This window comes from Homo sapiens, chromosome 1, assembly GCF_000001405.40.
Source record: "Homo sapiens chromosome 1, GRCh38.p14 Primary Assembly".
NCBI lineage: Eukaryota > Metazoa > Chordata > Mammalia > Primates > Hominidae > Homo > Homo sapiens.
Window position 1 is genome coordinate 56549884 of NC_000001.11, and position 19224 is coordinate 56569107.

General features: G+C 42.2%; 1 protein-coding gene across 1 annotated transcript in view, besides 1 other annotated feature; it reads right to left on the reverse strand.

Moving 5' to 3' along the window:
* Positions 1 to 19224, reverse strand: part of PLPP3 (phospholipid phosphatase 3) — an 84803-nt gene that overhangs the window by 55123 nt on the left and 10456 nt on the right. The window lies entirely within an intron of this gene.
* Positions 367 to 940: an enhancer, noted in NCBI's record as "OCT4-NANOG-H3K27ac hESC enhancer chr1:57015922-57016496 (GRCh37/hg19 assembly coordinates)". NCBI's record gives its function as "activates a minimal SCP1, AML or CMV promoter by ChIP-STARR-seq in naive H9 embryonic stem cells {active_cell/tissue: H9 hESC(naive)}" and the evidence as "EXISTENCE:reporter gene assay evidence [ECO:0000049][PMID:30033119]".

Below are 19224 nucleotides of genomic sequence, written 5' to 3' on the forward strand. Positions count from 1 at the left end.
TTAACATTAGCTACCGCTAGACACTTTCCTGGTCACTTTATTGCTGCACCTCCCTTATTCTGACCAATAATCCTTTCCGGGTAAGGAGTATGAGCCTGATTTTACAAAGACTAGAAATGAAGAATAGTGATAAGGCCACAGAGAAGTAGGCCAGAAAGGGACGCTGGGTCCGGCTGACTTTCCATGGAACTGTGAAGCCACCAGATATTCTATCTTTAGGTACTTTTAACTGGAGCTAAGGAGGGGAGCCACTCACAAACTGGGCAGCTGCTTCCTGTAGTCAGAAATCCAGGTACTCTGGGACCATCCTCAGTTGCTCCTGCAGCGCTGCCCCTTCCCCCACCAGAATGGGAATAACAAAATGTAAGGCATTCGGATACACTGGGAGAACTGGCTACAGTAAACAACTCCTAGGTGGTTTGTTATAGGAACCCTATTGTTCCAGAGGGAGGCTCTTTTGCCAGAACTCTCCAGGAAGCCACTGCTGGGTAATGCATTTTTCAGCTGTTGAGAGAAAAGGGTAGATCCTGGGATGTTTCTTCAATGGTTCTGGAAGCCAGGCCCTTAATCCTTGCAAAGCAGCAAGGAGCCAGCTTCTCTCAGAGGGACAGAATGTCTAGAGTCCCTCTTCCAAATCAAAACATAAAAACTCCCCAGCTTCCCCTTTACAACCTCTCAAAACGTGTGAATCAGGCAGAGGGGAGGAAGAGGGTTGCGAAGCCCAAGGGGGGTTCAGGCCTTCTCTATGCCCCTCCTCCCCTTGTAACCCAGCCCACCTGACCCCTCTATTGCAGTAAATTACAAAGCCCCCACTGTTCTCTCTGCCCATCCTCCTCCTCCCACCCACCCCCACACATACACTTTTTTAAAGGGCGAAATGCCAAATAACATTATTCCCCTTCACCATGGTATTGCCATGACAGCTGCCTGGTATGTTTGCCTGAGAAATGGAAGGTTTTCATGGAAATATCAGCTTCCACGACAGCTCCCCCTTTGTGGAAGTGGCCTTGAAAAGAAGTGGAAGAATCCCCAACTGGAATCTAATTGGAAGGACAAGAGGGGAGAGCAAGGCCCCCGGAATTGTTCAAAGGCCTGAGGAATACTTGAGTGTGGCTTTGGGAACCCATAGGCCTTTGCGAACTCTGGCAAAGCCCCACTCTCCACCCTCCCTCCCTGTCCTACTGCACAATGTTGTACTCTGTCGTGGGTAGCCTCACCTCAGAATGGAAACTCTATAATATAATGTGAGGGGGAGGGAAGCACTTACAGTATATACATATTATCCACAGATGTACACAGGTATCCTTGCGCACAATGTGAACTGCAGAAAACCATTTCACAGCCCATGTTAATCAAGCGAACACCAGAGAAATCAAAAATGGCTTTCTGGGTTTGGGGTTTGGTTTGGTTCGGTTCGGTTCGGTTCGGTTCGGTTCGGTTTGGTGGTGTGCAATTAGCAGACCTAGATACAAGTCCCTCCCCTTCCACCTCTGCCAAGTCCTGGCAGTGTGATACTTGATTAGTGAATTCTCAGGACCTTCATTTGCTCATCTTCAAGACAGGTCCTGCAGTCTAGAAGGGCTGACATGAGGATGGCAGAAGAGATGGCGTGGTAAGCAGCCTGCCTCGAACAGGTGCACACACACGTTTCCTCCTCCCCTCCCCACTCAAAGCATGAAGGGGAAGGAGAAGATGCCTGGGAATGGGACAGGATCCATGAGAAACAATCTCTCCTATCATACCCCAGGTACTTCTGAGAGCAAACGGCATACGTGAGCTCCTACTTGTCCATCAAGATGATAGAATGGGTCTTGGCGAATTAATTATTCAACAAACTTGCCCTTCGCAAATCCCATCCAAAGAAATGGTTTGATGCCTTTCAGTGCACTGACTATACAAAATACTGAAAAGACCAGTGCACTTCAAAAGCCTCACAAAACCTAGGCTGGGGTTTGGCAGGAGTTCCTCAGCCACTGGGTTTTTCTGTGTGTGGTTTATAATAACATGCAAACCTGATGCCAAGTCCTAATCTATTAAGGGACTGCCAATTAGCAGAAGGCTTAGAGCTGCAGGTTTGAGAACTGGGGAGCAGGTCTAATTAGGCTTGCAAATCATTTCTCTCCATAGCCCCTTGCATCTGACACAAGGTATTACTGGCTGACTGTTCCGGATATGTTCTTTCCATATTCCTATGCACACTGGTTTTTGTTTGTTTGTTTTAAGGTTCCAGACCTGAAGGCTAAGGCATATTTTCATGTCTGCCTCCTAAATGTAAAATTGGGGATTATCCTCTGGACAGTGATTTTCAGATTTAGCCATTCACCATCAGAGGCACTTATAAAAAAAAAAAAAAAAAAGAAAGAAGGAGAGATAGATAGATAGACTGATTCCGGGCCCTGCCCAGATCTACGTGACCCGAATTTCAGGGGAAGGGCATGAGAATTCTGATTTTTAATAAGACTTCCAAGTGATTTTATCCCAAGGTGATTTGAGAATCACTACTCTAAAACTTAAAAATTTCATTTTTAAATAAAAGGGCTTAAAAAAATTGATATATAATTTACATAGCATGCAATTTACATATGCATATACCAAGTCAACACAATTTTAAACCACACTGAATATACAATATTTACTGACAACCTTATTGTGTGCCAGGAGTGAGAAATACTGAGATGAGTAAAACAGGGTTTCTGCCCTCAGAGAGCTCCTGGTTCTCATAGAAAAATTGATCTTTCCCCTACAGGGACCCTGTGAGGACTCAAACCTGCAGTTCTCCTCTCCCTTTCTCATCAGCCTAGTTGGGAACTTAGCTTTCCAGTATCTTTCCCAGGACAACTTTAAGAAAGAAACAGGATGATTTCAGATGCTAAACATTAGCAGCCTATCTTAGAAGAGGAGAAAAGCCTGAGAAACATATGGCTTCAAGATACAGGAGAAAATATGTGCCTCAGGACTGCCTAAAGACAAAAACTGAAAGAGGGGAGTAAAATGCAGAGGCCCTCTGTGCAGCAGAAAAAGTCCTGGGCTGGGGGTCTCAGGAGTTCAAGGTTGGATTCTTCTGCGAATGAAGAAAGTCCCTTTTCTTCGCTGAGCCTGTATTAGAGAGAAGAGGCTAGACTAGCTGGTCATGTCCCAAAGCAAATTCAACATGGACATTTCATCCTAGGGCCTTCATCAGAGTTTATTGTTAAGTTTTACCTGGGAGATGTGCAACCCAGAAGAACTTGGTTTCCTCAGAGCATTCTCTGAGAAATGCTGGCCTAAATAACCTCTAATCAGTCCTAAAAATATGATTCATGTGTGTGGCTTTCAAACAAGACTGATTTCCTAGCTGCAGGGCCAATGTTTAATATTTATCCTCTCCACAGTCCTGGATATCCCAGCAGGGACTCAAAATATGACTATGTCTGGGGAAGGGAGTGGCACGGCAAGGCTGTGTTTTAGAAAGTACACCCTGCCAGCCAGACATGTGGAAGATAAACTGGGGTATGGGAGCTTTAGTTAGCTGGCTCCTGCTAACCCAGGTGTGACCAACCACCTTCCCAAGGAAAAGCCTTCTGCACTTGGAGACACATCCCATCCACCCTGAATGAGGTGCATTAAGGCCTCTTACAGCCATGACACCACACCAGGTCCTGGACAGCACAGCTCAAATAAACACTGCCTGCTCTCCAAGAGCATCTGGGGCTGGTTGCTTCTTTCCTTCAAACACCTCTCTGAAACTCATTGCTGGAGTTTCCCTACATAGACTCCCTCAGGTTATCTTAACACATATATTCAGGACCATACCTAAGACTAAATTCGAACTAAATAGCAAGAGAAGGGCAATCTATCCACTGGCAACTGACATACAATGGCAAACAGTAGCATGTATACAGTTGTGTATGTGGATTTTGGAGTCAGATACACTTGGGTCCTAATTTTAACCTAAAACAAGCCAACTAACCTCTCACAGTGATGTGGGAGGAATAAAACCGAGTGTGCGAAGAAGGTTCATACAATGCCTGGCACACAGAAAATGCTCAGTAAATGTTACTCTTATGAATATGGAATGATGTGCCTTCTGTAAGAAGGAAAGAGACAAGTGTTGTCTTGGCCCATAAAGAGATCCATTATTTATTTCACATACTGACCACGTATTATGAAAGTCATCAAGCCTTTGGCTTTTCCCCCCCACTTTGGCTTTTTTTTTAATGAGACTCGAGTGGGTGATTGAGAATATGGATAGCAGAAAAAGCACAGGTTTGGGGTCAAATAGATTTGTGTTTAAAGCTTAAAGCTTAGATCTACCTTTTTTTTTAGTCCTGTGACATTAAGCAGGCTGCTAACCTCTCTAGGGCATCTGTAAAACAGGCTAGAATCAATCTTGACGGGTTACTGTGAAGTTTAGAAATACAGTGCCATGGCCGGGCGCGGTGGCTGACGCCTGTAATCCCAGTGCTTTGGGAGGCCGAGGCGGGTGGATTATGAGGTTAGGAGATAGAGACCATCCTGGCTAACACGGTGAAACCCTGACTCTACTAAAAATACAAAAAATGAGCCGGGCGTGTTGGCGGGCACCTGTAATCCCAGCTACTCGGGAGGCTGAGGCAGGAGAATGGCGTGAACCCGGGAGGCGGAGCTTGCAGTGAGCAGAGATCACGCCTCTGCACTCCAGCCTGGGCGACAGAGCAAGACTCCATCTCAAAAAAAAAAAAAAAAGAAATACAGTGTCATATATAAAGTATACTCAATCCATGGAAAGTATTGTTATTATTCATGGTCTTCTCTCAAAATACATTAGAATAAAGAAAGATGACTAGGGTAGCTCTTTGTCTCTGTGTGAGAGTATTTCCCTCCCTTTAAAGCAGGCAAGGGAAACAGCCTATGTAGAGTTTTAAAGATACCAATGTCTTTTCAATGTTCCATTATTTCCAGCTAAAGGAAAATAACTGGGGATTTTCTTAGCACTCCACATTGGTTTAAATAAAATGTGTCTTGGAACTTCCCAAGTTCACTTCACACTCATAGTCAATCCCTATCTCTGTTTCACAGTATTTTTCACTCTCCCTTCATTCATTTTTTTTTCCCAATAAATATTTATGAAGCACCTATGATGAACAGAGCACAGACTTAGGAGCAATGGGGTATATGTGGTGATCACAGTTCAAATGTTATTTTGTATTCATGTGAGGAAATTAAGAAAAGGAGTTGTAATTTGCCAAATGATACTTAGTGGAAAGGGACAGAGGTGGCCATGCCCTGCACAACTCCGAGGAACACCACTCACAGGCTTCAATCTCAGTTAGGGCTGAAACCAATGCTGTTGCCATTTCCACTCCTCCATCATGGAAGCAGCTGAACCGGCCCCATCCAATCCCTCCTGCTTGGTGACTTCCCCGGGGACTTTTATCTGTCCCCTGCACATGGACACCGTAAGGACCATGGGCTGGCTGGTTACATTATCTCGTTATTGTTATACTGGTTCTGGCCTTCCCTAGTGCCTGTTGGGGTGTGTGTGTGCAATTTGCCATAATCACTTATGCAGGAGAAGGAAGGCCAAACACTAAAAAAAAAAAAAAAAAAAAAAAAAAACAAAAAACAAACAAACAAACAAAAACACCCAAAAACTCAAGATGAAGAAACAAGAGAAAAATCGATGATAAGTATCCAACACTGCCTACTTTTACTATGGAATGTGGTCCAATTACCAGGGAATTATTGGCATGCCAGTTAGCCTCTAGGTCACTGTGTCCCTGAATGGAACAATTTGTGAAACATGCTTAACAAGGGCCATCATGCTTGGCTAATTTCTTAATTTTTTGTAGAAACAAGGTCTTGCTATGTTGCCAAGGCTGATCTTGAACTCCTAAGCTCAAGCAATCCTCCTGCTTCAGCCTCCCACATCGCTGGGGATTACAGGTGTGAGCCACATATTTTAAATTCAATAAAAAGTTTTAGGTAAGTCTAGTGTGTGTGCTTAACCTGCTTTTTAAATAACATGATGATGCTGGCTTCAACTGGCCAAACTTAGTTAAATTTAGCAGTTAATAACCATCAAACAGTCTCACACTAATCAAATTCAGATCGAGGAAGACATTTTTTTTCCCCCTGGTTCACAGTATTTTCTATTCATGAGTAGGAAACAGGATGTGATGAAAATGTATCATTTTAGAGTCAGGCCTAAATGCAAATCAAACTACTTGGCTTGGGCCTCAATTTCCTCACACATAATTTGAGGGGTAGAGAGAAGAGGTTTAAAGGTAAATTGTGCCCTCTCCCACCAAATTCATGTTGAAGTGGTCACCCCCAGCACCTTAGAGTATGAAGTTATTTGGAGATAGGGTCTTCATAGAGGTTAAAGTGAGGGCATTAGGGCGGGCTGTAACCCCATATGACTGGTGTCCCTATAAAATGGGGGAATTTGGTCACAGAGATATATAGAGAGGTGAGATTACACAAAGATACAGGAATACTTAATTATGAATGATGTTAAAGGGTCATTGATCAAGTAATGATAAAATAATTTTAATTATGAAGACTATTAGAACATAGAAGATCATATGTATATATACCTAATAACTGAAAGAAAATCAACATGAGTAAAAAGAAATATGCCAAAATGGCAATAGTATTTATGGTAGATTATGAGTGATGTTCCCTGTCTTTTCCAAATCTTAGGTGGTATAGTTTAAAGCATCAATAATGATAAATTAATTTACCTTTAGAAAAAAAGCAACATTGTTATGCTAGTGTCAAAAATGACTTGGGTTTTTGAGACCCTGTCTCAAAAGAAAAAAAAAAGTTTCACTTCAGGAAAGGCCAAATTTAAAAACTGGTCTGGGTGGTTCAGGGAGGGACAGTATAGGTGAATGTAGTGTGAAGTATTTATCAAGAAGGACTGTCCCTGGGCAGGCAGGTGCAGTAGCTCACACTTGTAATCCCAGCAATTTGGGAGGCTGAGGTGGATAGATTGCTTGAGGTCAAGAGTTTGAGGCCAGACTGGCCAACATAGTGAGAGAAGAAAGAAAAAGAGGGGAGGGGAGTGGAGGGAGAAAGAAAGAGAGAGAGAGAGAGAGAGACAGAGAGAAAGAAAGAAAGAAAGAAAGAAAGAAAGAAAGAAAGAAAGAAAGAAAGAAAGAAAGAGAGAGAGAGAGAGAAAGAGAGAGAGAGAGAGAGAGAGAGAGAGAGAGAAAGAAAGAAAGAAAGAAAAAATGAGAGAGAGAGAAAGAGGCTGGGTGCGGTGGCTCATGCCTGTAATCCCAACACTTTGGGAGGCCGAGGCGGGTGGATCATGAGGTCAAGAGATCAAGACAATCCTGGCCAACATGGTGAAACCCCATCTCTACTAAAAATACAAAAATTAGCTGGGCATGGTGGTAGGCACCTGTAACCCCAGCTACTCGGGAGGTTGAGGCAGGAGAATCGCTTGAACCTGGGAGGCAGAGGTTGCAGTGAGCCAAAGACGCACCACTGCACTCCAGCCTGGTGACAAAGCGAGACTCCTTCTCAAAAGAAAAAGGAAAGGAAAGGAAGAGAAAGAAAGATTGTCTCCTTTACTTCAATCCTCCAGTTTTGATGAACTAGATTTTGAGTTCTTTGAGCTGAATCAGAATTGATAGAATCGTATCTTTTAACTTCATAGCTATAGCAACCTGGCATACAGTAGGCAGTTGATACACGTATAATTAAGTGGGTGAATGAATGCACTAATGAATGCAGTTGCTTTGGGTCTTGTAAGAAAACCACTGGCTTTCAGGTCAGACATCTTTACTAGAATGGTTATGTGTATGTACCTCCATGGATCATTTCCCTTTTCTGCTCAAAGACATATAACATTGTCAAGTCCACATTTTATAGACATGCTGGTGAAGCTGACAGAGGAAAGATAGCTTCTGAAACCAACTTTCGAGGGTTTTGAAATCTAAACCCTCACTGTATGGAGAAACCTTATACTTCCTCCATCGATCTCATAGTCCTTCTTCTCTGCAAGTCCCCGGGGCGCTTTTCCAACCCCATATTGCTCTGCGCTGCAGCCAAAGCCCAGTTTCTTGCCTCAAAAGGCCCTTTGTTTGGGCTCTCTTTCCAAATCAGCGTATCCTGAGCTTGAACCCCCTTGCTTTTGAGAACTCTGATGCCTTGGCAGCAGAAGGCTTTGCCAGCAGGTTTGTGGTCCTTAACAGCTTTCAGAAACCTCAATGTGAGGGCATGTCTATAGCTAAGAAACTCTTTTCACGGGAGGGAGGAGAGGGAGTATTATTTTAAGAGTTGCAAAAACAACTTCAGATTGACTCTTTGGTCTTTCATTGCTACCAGAAGACTGAGAACTTCTTGTTCTCTGGTATTTAATTAAGATGATAGTTTTAATCAACTTGAAATGATATTGGTTAATAAGCTCTGCTCAATCTCTCAGGTAGGTTTCATCTCCCAACACTGGAATGCATTAAAGACAAATTTCCAGCATCTTCCTTTCCAACTGGAAAACACATGCTTTAGTAAGCACAAATGGAAAGGTAGCTCCATCTGTGCAGCTGCCATATGATTCTCTGGCAGGACTCCAAGGTAACTTTTCAAAGATCAGATAAACTATGTCTAATCCATACTTTGTACTTACACATTTTATAAACCCAGGTAGCACTCTCTTATGCATTTATTTGTTCCAAAGCTTGCCAATTATTTATGACAGATAACAGTTTCTAAACACTTAAGGGTCAGGGTATATTCATGTCAAAGAGCCCACTGTCTGTGAGGTATTTTTTTCTCTCCGGACACCTGTAAAGTAGAAATCATTGTCTCCATTTTACAGGTGAGGAAACTCAAGTTTACTACAACACTTGATCCAGGTTATAAGCTACCAAGTGATGGGGCCAGGATCGGAACCCAGAACTGTCTGGCCCTAAGACATATCCTCTTTCCACTGTGTTCCAATGTCTCCTAAACTTCAAAACTTTGATTCTGGGTTAAAATTGTGGTAACTCGTGGTGGTGAATCTCTTCATCTTTCCTCCTATTTGTACCTTGTGACAGGGTTAATTCAACACAGTCAAGACCTCCAACTATCAGGCACTGTCCTAGAGTCTTTTATACTTGATGACCTCTGCAGTTCTGAAAGACCATTTAATTCAACTGCCTCATTATTTAGGGAAGAAAATTTAAACCAACAGAGTTCAAGTGACTTGTTTAAGGTCACTAACTAGTGCCAGAGCTGGAATGGCTTGAGATTAGGAGGTGAAATTACCTCAGGTTGGAGTAGTGAGGGGGTAGGGTGAGCAGAAACCAGCTTAAAGAATGGAAACTCTTCGTATAGGCAGAGAAGAAGGAGCGGGTGCGTTAGCAGAGGAAAGAGCATAAACAAAGGCTGGAATACAGATTTCTGTGTGTTGCTTCCAGGAAGCAAGGAGACTAATATGGATAAAGGTAGTTATCAATGAGAATACCTGTGCATTCAAAATAAGGATAGCAGAACCAAAAACTGTGAACAATAGATGCCTCTGGGGAGTGGAATTTAGAGGAACAGTAAGCAAGGGGCTATTCCTTTTAAACATAATCATATGGTTAATTTTTTTTTTAAGAGACTAGGTCTCACTATGTTGCCCAGGCTGGTCTTGAACTCCTGAGCTCAAGTGATCCTCCCACCTCGGCCTCCCAAAATGCTGGGATTACAGGTGTGAGCCACCACCCCCAGCCTTGAATTTTTTTTTTTTTTTTACACTAAGAATATATTACTGTGCTTTGGCATTTTATGTTAAGGTACAAATGACTGTAGATTACTGACACATGGGGCTAATATCTGTTTTGCAAAATAACCAAATCCATTGTGTAAAGGGATGCTTTAAACTATGGTATTTACTGGATTTGAACTTGAACCTGCACAAGGTAAGAGTTTTGTTTTCTCTATATTTTACTCATTTTCCAAGACAGTTAATATCTCTGAGCCTGGTTTTCCCATCTGGAAAATGGGGATGAGGAAGGAAGAACTTTTGATGCTTGTCCCCTTCATCTCCTGTATTCTAAGATTATTCTAAAGGATGGTCACTGGTACTGGGCAGAGCTGAGGCAAAGAAACCATTCTGCTAAAGGGAATTCTTCAGTGCAGTCCCTTCCTTGACAATGGTGCCTAAAAGCATTCTGCTAATTTGCCTGTCCAAACAACCGTGATGTTACCACTTTCAGAAGCCTTCCCCCAGAGCCCCTCAAACATAGTGTTAATAATCCCTTCAACTCGGCTACCTCTATACAGAGTATACATTGTATTTCTAGAACTGCACCTGCCCAACATCTACTCCAGAAGATTCAAGGACTGAAACCTCTCCCCATTCATCATTAGACCTCGACACCCAGCACAGAACCTGGTGCATTAAAGGTGCTCAATGCATATTTGTGGAAATGACTCATCACCATCATTTATTCAGGTGCTTTTAATTATAAAATTGTTCAGGTGCTTTCAATTATAAAATTGATAGATACTATTATTAATGCTACTAATTACCAAAACTGTACCAAACATAGCTGATGCTGGGTTAAAATTATGGGAAGGTTGATTTTATATCAACATAACCTTTTGAACAATTAGAACTGCCTCCATGGAATAAACTCAGCATCACTGAAAGTATGTGCCACTAGATTCAGGGTCTGGTGAGGACTTGCTTTCTATTTCAAAGATGGCCCCTTCTAGCTGTGTTCTCATATGATGGAAGGGCAGAGGGGCTAAAAAGCTCCCTCAGTCCTGTTTTATAAGGGCACTAATCCCATTCACGAGCACTCTGCCCTCATGACCTAATTACCTCTTAAAGCCCCCCCACCTTCCATCACCTTGGTGATTAGGTTTCAGGATATGAATTTTGGCAGAACACAGACATTCAGACCATAGCAGTTAGTAACAAAGTTAAGATGTAAACTCAGATTTCTTGTCTCCCACCTTGCCTATGTTTTCCCTTCAGGGGGTTTTCCTCTCCCCATTCAGAGTCCTTTTTTTTTTTTTTTTTTTTTTTGAGACAGAGTCCTCCTCTGTCGCCCAGGCTGGAGTGCAGTGGCCTGATCTCGGCCCACTGCAAGCTCCGCCTCCAGGGTTCACACCATTCTCCTGCCTCAGCCTCCCGAGTAGCTGGGATTACAGGCGCCTGCCACCATGCCCGGGTAATTTTTTTTTTTTTTTTGTATTTTTAGTAGAGATGGGGTTTCACCATGTTAGCCAGGATGGTCTTGATCTCCTGACCTTGTGATCCGCCCGCCTCAGCCTCCCAAAGTGCTGGGATTACAGGCGTGAGCCACTGCACCCGGCCCAGAGCCCTCTTTAAGGCAAGAGAGGAGGATGAAAAAAGTAATGCCTTCTAAATACAGCCCTAGCTTTTAGGGTAGGTTAGAATTTTTTTTTTTTAATAGAAGCTATCATGGTTAGCACAAATTTTGTTTGTTAAACAAGTTCAAAATACTACATGAATGCAAAACTGAATGTAAAATACCTAGCTGTTCTTAGGTTAGTTACATATTCTCAATTCTCTCAGGTTAGTTAATACTTTATTATTGACCGCTGCAAACTCTAGCAAGTAAAGGGTTTTTCCATTTCATCACACTGACTTACAGGAAGCAGGCCTTAAGCACCCAGTGTTTAGCTTTATAATTATACTTAATAATAATTCAGCTATTTATAGAAAAGATAAACTGTACCAGTGGCTACCTCAGGATTGTGGTATTATAGGCAACAAAATTTTTCTTTTTCTTTTTACTTCTTGTTTATATTTTATAAAATATCTTTATATACTTTTTTTCAATGAAAATTTTTCAGCACCTATTATGTACAAGGAGTTCAAAATCTATTTAGAAGAGATTTCAGAGAGGAGGCAGGCAGGATTTGAAGTGACTATCAAGAGGTAAGTAGCTTCTTTTTTGGCTGAGCACGGTGGCTCACGCCTGTAATCCCAGCACTCTGGGAGGCCAAGGCGGGTGAATCACCTGAGGTCAGGAGTTCAAGACCAGCCTGGGCAACATGGTGAAACCCTGCCCTTACTAAAAATAAAAAAATTAGCCGGGCATGGTAGCACACGCCTGTAATCCCAGCTACTCAGAAGGCTGAGGCAGGAGAATCACTTGAACCTGGGAGGCGGAGGTTGCAGTGAGCCAAGATCGTACCATTGTACTCCAGCCTAAGTGACAAAGCAAGACTCCGTTTCACAAAAAAAAAAAAAAAAAAAAAAAAAAAAAAAGGAAGTAAATAGCACATACCAAGCAAAGAGAAAGAATGGCATGGTAGAAAAGGACCTGGAAAAGCCCCAGAGTGGAGATGTCTGGGAGAAGGGTGTGAAGGGGTTGGGAGAGAGTGGGGTAATGGGGATGAGAAGCAAGAAATTGAAAGGTTTGGTTAGGGTTAGATTCTGAAGAGTCTCAAATATGCTGAGAAATGGATTCTGTAGTCAACAAGGGGTCAGAAAGTCCTGTTCTGAAGAGACAGGCCTATGTGATCGGGATTGTAGTAGTAACAAATGACCCTGTAGACTCACTGCATAAAGAATACACGGGGGAGGAGAGACTATCAACCTAGAAATAAAATCTGTAAAGACATTTTTTCAGATCTGGGTAAATGATAGCATGTGCCTAAAATGCAGTCGAAAAAGGAAGAATGGAGAAAAGAGAGCAAATTCAGACACAACAAAAAAAATATTCATTGTACAAACAAGAGCTTGCAGTTGCAAAATATTTTTCTATACCTGTGGGATACTATACCATTTGGTCTCAAAAGCTCTGTGAGGTAGGCAGGGAACAAATCATCATCCCCATTTTATCATTCACAAAATAGAAAACATTTGCCCAAGGTCACTCAGCTAATACAGCAAAGCTGAGACTGGAGGCAAGAACAGCATCAAGCTATCTCTTAGACTCAATATTTTTAAAATTTCATTTAATTATCAGCTCAGGACACCTGGCCATGTTTTTTCCATCTGTGTGTCCATCTTCTCATCTTGTCACCTTCTTCCTTAGGGCAGGTTCCACCTCTTATATTTCTTAGACTTTCCCTCAGCACTTTGTATTTATCTCCACAAATACTGGGAGAGATAGGCAGTGGACTCACAGGCATGTGCTTATCTGTCATTTTCTGGTAATACAGAAAATGATCAACAGCCCAGGATATACTTTCCCATTGGTCTTGTGGGTGTTTCCTATTCATCCTTGGTCCACAGTGGAGGAAGAGCCCTTGCTATGATTCCTATGGTTTGAGGGGCCTCTTGCCAGCTGCTTTCCTGCTCTGCATTCTAAGTGTGTAGGATCTGTACAAAATGGACCTACTCTAAGTCCTATTTAACTTTTCCATGGGTCTGTGTTTGTCAAAGCTTCATGCCAACTCTGTCAGAAAAAGAAATGCCACAAAACTTCTTTTAGGAAAGGGAGAAAAGACCTACTTTATACACTTGCTTTCATGCTAATCACACCACCATTCAAATCCCAACTGAATAGGGGCCCTACAATAGCCTGGGAAATACACGGAGCGTTTTCCAAAGTGCAGGCTCCTTCACTCAAAATGTTTCATTTCCCTGGCTTTTTAACACCTTTGGAGAAGACTGATAAGAAGAATTAACAATACAATCTGATATTGCTGTCTCTCTGCAGAAAAGATATTCCATTTCTGTAGAAAATTGGCCAAGTATTCTCCTACCATGGCTCCTGACCTTTTCTTCTAAGGCTCTACAGAACTGGAACTGAGATTCTCTCTGATATATTTTCAGTAAAAGTGGATAGATGGCCCAAGTGACCAGCTCAAAGCAGATTCTAGCAGAGCATTTTCCCTGAAATGTTAGTAAATGACCTCTGCTACTGATTAGCTGAATTATTAACAGTGTGTCACCAACCCATCAATGAGGATTGCTATAGACATTGCTGACCAAGTTCTGAGAAAAACAGAATGAACTTCAACCTCCACCTTCATAGTGTTGTTGTGAAATCCAAGTGAGTTAATAACGTATGAAAAGCCCCTAGCTCACTGCCTGCCACATATTAAGTATTCAGTAAAGTTCATGCCTCTCTCTTCCAGTGTAAAGGTTTGGAGTTCACGTCTATCCTCTACGGATTTACAAAGAAACAGGAAATACTGAAATGGACAAAAGACTTTAAACTTCAAGTCAAATCTGAACACTTTACAAGGTGTGATAATTTCATTTTTAAATTTTCTGACTTGCTTGCTTTCTTCATATGCTCATTATTGAAACTAATAGTGAAAATTCAAATTGCAATCTTAATTCTTGGAGGAAAGAGCATAGGTGTTGGTTGGGTCATAGCCTACAAGCTCCACCATTTTCTAGTCCCAAGATCCTGAGCAAGCCCCTCAATCTCTCTGCACAACGACTGTCTCATCTATAAAACCAGTTAGAGGAATACCTCCCCTTCAGGCTTGTATGATTTGATGAGATTCGTGGATGTGTCTGACTATACTGTCAATGCTCAAAAAGGTTAGTTTCCCAGCTTTGTTCCAACTGACATGTGAACAATGATATTTTGCATGTGGTGGTACTGATGTTTTGTTTGCTTTGAGGGGCTAGGTAACTGGAGATCTACAATGAGAAAAATTAATTGAGGCAAGAAAGAATATATAAATTCAAACTCTCAGATGCAAACGTTATCATTTGGTAGAATTGTTCAGTAAAAGGGATTATTAATTAATAATAAATCCTTGGATTTCACAGCTAGGGCAAGCACAGCTGCAACAACAAATTTATGGCAAAATCATAAGTAAAGGTCCCTCAACTCCATTAATAGCCTTAGGAAAATTAAACCTAAAATCAAGACAGCTTATTATTCCCCTCGAATTGAAAGCCCTGTATTTTGAATGCTTTGACTCAAGAAGTATATTTTAATTTCCCAGCCAGTCCCTAGGAATTCTGCTTTCATATAACATCTATAGAGCTGACCTTTCAAAGCAATCAGTCACAAAGGTGAGTGCAGCCCAAAATCCCTCCTGCGGTGTCACTGGAGCTGCTACTCTCCAGACAGATTTAAATGACAAACCCAATAAACAAAAGATTCTCCAGTAAGTTGGTAACAACTTTGGAAATATTTTTAAAATCTCAGCTTGCTGGAAGTTCCTCTCTCTGATCATATGTGTGTGCACTTGCTTCCAAGGAAGACACTGTGCTTCTAATGAAAACATCCATTAAGGCTAAGATGACAGCAAGACAAATGTAACAATGAGAAATAATGGATTAAGCCATTCTTCTCTATAAACCTACTGAGGCCAAATTGACCCAAACAGCTACTTTGGGAGAGTGTCTAATGAAATCTGCTGTGTGGCTGAGACGCATTCTGCCACTTCCTGTCAGTGGTTGCTAACTTTACAACAATGTGGGTCATTTGTGGGGAAGAGGCTACTGGTAGAAGTTCCATGTACTGCATTTAATGAAGGAGCTGCATCCGCAGCCACTAACCAGAGAAGCTCAAAATCTTTCAATGTGACTTAAAGGTTACACCAAACCACAAGGACAGTAGCTCGAGCCTAAGGTACAAAAAGGGTCACAAACAGAGTGACCCATTACCACTGCCTGATGTGAATGATAAAAGGCCTAAAGTCCCTTCTTTTTTTTTTTTAAATGATACAGAGTCTCCCTCTGTTGCCCAGACTGGAGTGCAGTGGCACAGTCTCGGCTCACTGCAACCTCTGCCTCCCAGGCTCAAGCGATTCTCCTGCCTCAGCCTCCCGAGTAGCTGGGATTACAGGCACCCGCAACCGCACCCGGCTAATTTTTGTATTTTTATTAGAGACAGGGTTTCACCATGTTGGCCAGGTTGGTCTCGAACTCCTGACCTCAGGTGATCTGCCCGCCTCAGCCTCCCAAAGTGCTGGGATTACAGGTGTGAGCCACTGCGCCTGGCCTAAAGCCCCTCCTTTCTTTAGAAAGCCTTCTATAGGATCCAGGACCCAGTGGTCTTCCTTACCTCAAAATTTAGAGCTGATGGTCCATTCTAGGGTGTCCAGCCTTTTCAGCAACAAAAATCCCTCATAGTTAATTCTTGCCCCTCTATGACACATCTAGAAGACATCTGTACTTACCAAGTAAACTATATTTCACATCGTTTATTTTTGCTAATCCAAGCACAAAAAGTGTCTCATCTCATCATTAGCAGAAATAAACAAGACCAGAGTGAACTGACAGCAGTCATTCACATCACAAACACAGCATGCTGATACTTTGACTAGTCTAGGCAGAGGCTGATGCTGTGAGTTAGGCTTGACAAGTTAATCACTGGTGAAAGTTCAGTATGCCTAGATATTTCTGAAGTACTGAAAATAGCAGAGGATGCCCCATGATTGACCTAACAGACCTTCACAGGTCCAGAGAACCACTAGTCCAACTCATTTTGGACGACGCTTCAGGGGTTGCCAATGCGAAAGCCAGCATGGAGTAGTGGAGAAAAGCATGGGATTCAGAAACACGTGGAGAATATAGGCAGTAGGGCCTAGTAGTTAAGAATGACCTCACCAGGCAGACGTCTGACCCCACCTCTCAAACTCACTCACTGCACCACCTTTGGTAAGTTATTTTTAACCTCTCTTACCTCCGTTCTGTAAAATGGAGACAATAGTAACAAGTACTTTATAGGCTCATTGGGAGGATTAAATAAGAGAATGTATACACGCTGCTTAACCTGGTGAGAGGTACCTAGCTAGCACTCAATAAATGTCAGCAATCGTCATTATTTAGTCAAGCTTGAGTCCAAATTCCAGCCCCGATACATATCAGCTGTAAGAACTTGGGCAAATCATTTACCCTCTCTGAGCTGCAAAACCAGGTTTGAAACATTTCCCTTATTCTGTTATTAAAAAGGTTAAGTGAGATATCATGTGAAGCACCTAACAATAAATGGGGATCCCTTTTCCTCACCCTTTTGTAATATTTGAGGTTTAATTTTCACATACTTACAACTTGATTTTTTAGTGCATTTATAGATCAACTCATTATTCAGGATTTGTATTTGTGTCTTATATTCTTTAATATTTCTTGGCATCCAGCACATGAGTCTAAAAGATACATGGTAATTTTAGTTCCTAAGATGACAACTACACATACACAGCCATATATCCAGAGGTGGGGAAAAGGGTGAAAAATCAGCCTCATCAGGAACTGAAAATAGATGGGTTTCTATTTCATGCCTTTAAAATATTGTAAAGCAGATCCCAGGGATATATAGGTTTTACTATTTGCATGTTTAACTGTTTTCAAAGTACTCTGAAGATCCATTCTTTGTTCTGCTGAGACAAGAGTCTGTACGTCACAGTCACAGCCTGCTTTGTGGAAGTGCTACTCAGTGGGTGAGCGGGTCTAGCTGACCACCCAGCATCGATTTCCCAGTCAGCTTATTGTTCTCTGCTCACTCATCTTAAACCCAGTGGCACCACTAAACTGATTCAAAACGTGTTTCTTTGTGAAAAATCCCTCTAAAAACAAAGTGACGCTTTAGTGGTTTTATGAATATGTTAATTCCAAATCTTCAGGAAAATTCTGGCATTGTTTCCCTTACATGTCTGCATTAATCTTAAGGTATTTCTTTTTTTTTTTTTTTTTTTTTTGAGATGGAGTCTCGCTCTGTCACCCAGGCTGGAGTGCAGTGGCGCGATCTCGGCTCACTGCAAGCTCTGCCTCCCGGGTTCATGCCATTCTCCTGCCTCAGCCTCCCACGTAGCTGGGACTACAGGTACCCGCCACCACACCTGGCTAATTTTTTGTATTTTTAGTAGAGACGGGGTTTCACTGTGTTAGCCAGGATGGTCTCAATCTCCTGACCTCGTGATCCACCCGCCTCGGCCTCCCAAAGTGCTGGGATTACAGGCGTGAGCCACAGCACCCAGCCCAATCTTAAGGTATTTCTAAAATGATGCAGCCTCAACGGAAAACAGTTTGGCAGTTCCTCAAAAAGGTAAACATGGAGTTACTATATGATCCAGGAATTCCACTCCTAGGTATACAGACCCAAGAGAACTGAAAGCATTTATATGGATATTCATAGCAGCACTATTCATAATGGCCAAAAAGTGGAAATCACCCAAATGTTCATCAAGTGGTGAAGGTAAAAATGAAATGTGTTATGTCTACATAATGGAATATTATTTGACAATAAAAAGAAATGAAGGATACATGCTGCAATATGAATGAACCTTAAAAACCGTACGCCAAGTGGAAGAAGCCAGTCACGAAAGACCACATATTATATGATTATACTTACATGAAATATTCAGAACAGGCAAATCTATGGAGAAAGAAATTGGATTCGTGGTTGCCATGAGATGTGGGAAGGTGGAGGAAAAATGGGGAGTGACTGGTAGTGGGTATCGTTTCTTTTTGCAGTGATGAAATGTTCTAAAATTGGTTGTGGTGATAGTTTACCTAACCGTGAAGATACTAAAAACCAAAAAAAAAGAAAAGATACTAAAAACCAATGAATCGTGTGCTTTAAAGAAATGAATTGCATAGTATGTGAATATCTCAATAAAGCTCTTTGAATAAAATACCATTGCAACCCAGGAAAAACCCTTTCTCTAAGCCAAGAGGATTTATAGCCCACTTATTTTAAGGGGCATTTGAGAAACTTAAAAAGTCCAGAACAAAAGAATATAACTCACAGCCTCGTCTTCATAATAAGGCTATGCACATAAAAAAGCATTTACTAATAGATTTCATAAATCTCCTATAAATCCTGCATTTAAAGTGTTTCTGGAAGGAGTGGCCTCACCATAGTTCAGAGGCTCCCAACCTGGAGTTCAGGAAGTACCTGTCATATCTTTCTTTTTCTTTTCTTTTTGAGACGAGTCTCGCTCTGTCGCCCAGGCTGGAGTGCAGTGGCGTGATCTCGGCTTACTGCAACCTCCGCCTCCCGGGTTCAAGCAATTCTCTGCCTCAGCCTCCCGAGTGGCTGGGACTACAGGTGCCCACCACCATGCCTGGCTAATTTTTTTGTATTTTTAGTAGAGATGGGGTTTCACCATCTTGGCCAGGCTGGTCTTGAACTCCTGACCTTGTGATCCACCCCACTCGGCCTCCCCAAGTGCTGGGATTACAGGCGTGAGCCACCGCGCCCGGCCCTGTCATGTCTTTCTTATCCAGCCCTCTCTGCTCCCACCACAGTACCCTCGGTTCAGCTTGCACTTGCCACCCCACTGGTCTTTAGCTCCTCTGCCTCCCATTTGCCTACCCTCAAATCCAGTCATCTCTCCCAAACCCAAATAAGATTAAATTAATTCCCTCCTCCAATCTTTTCATGAATA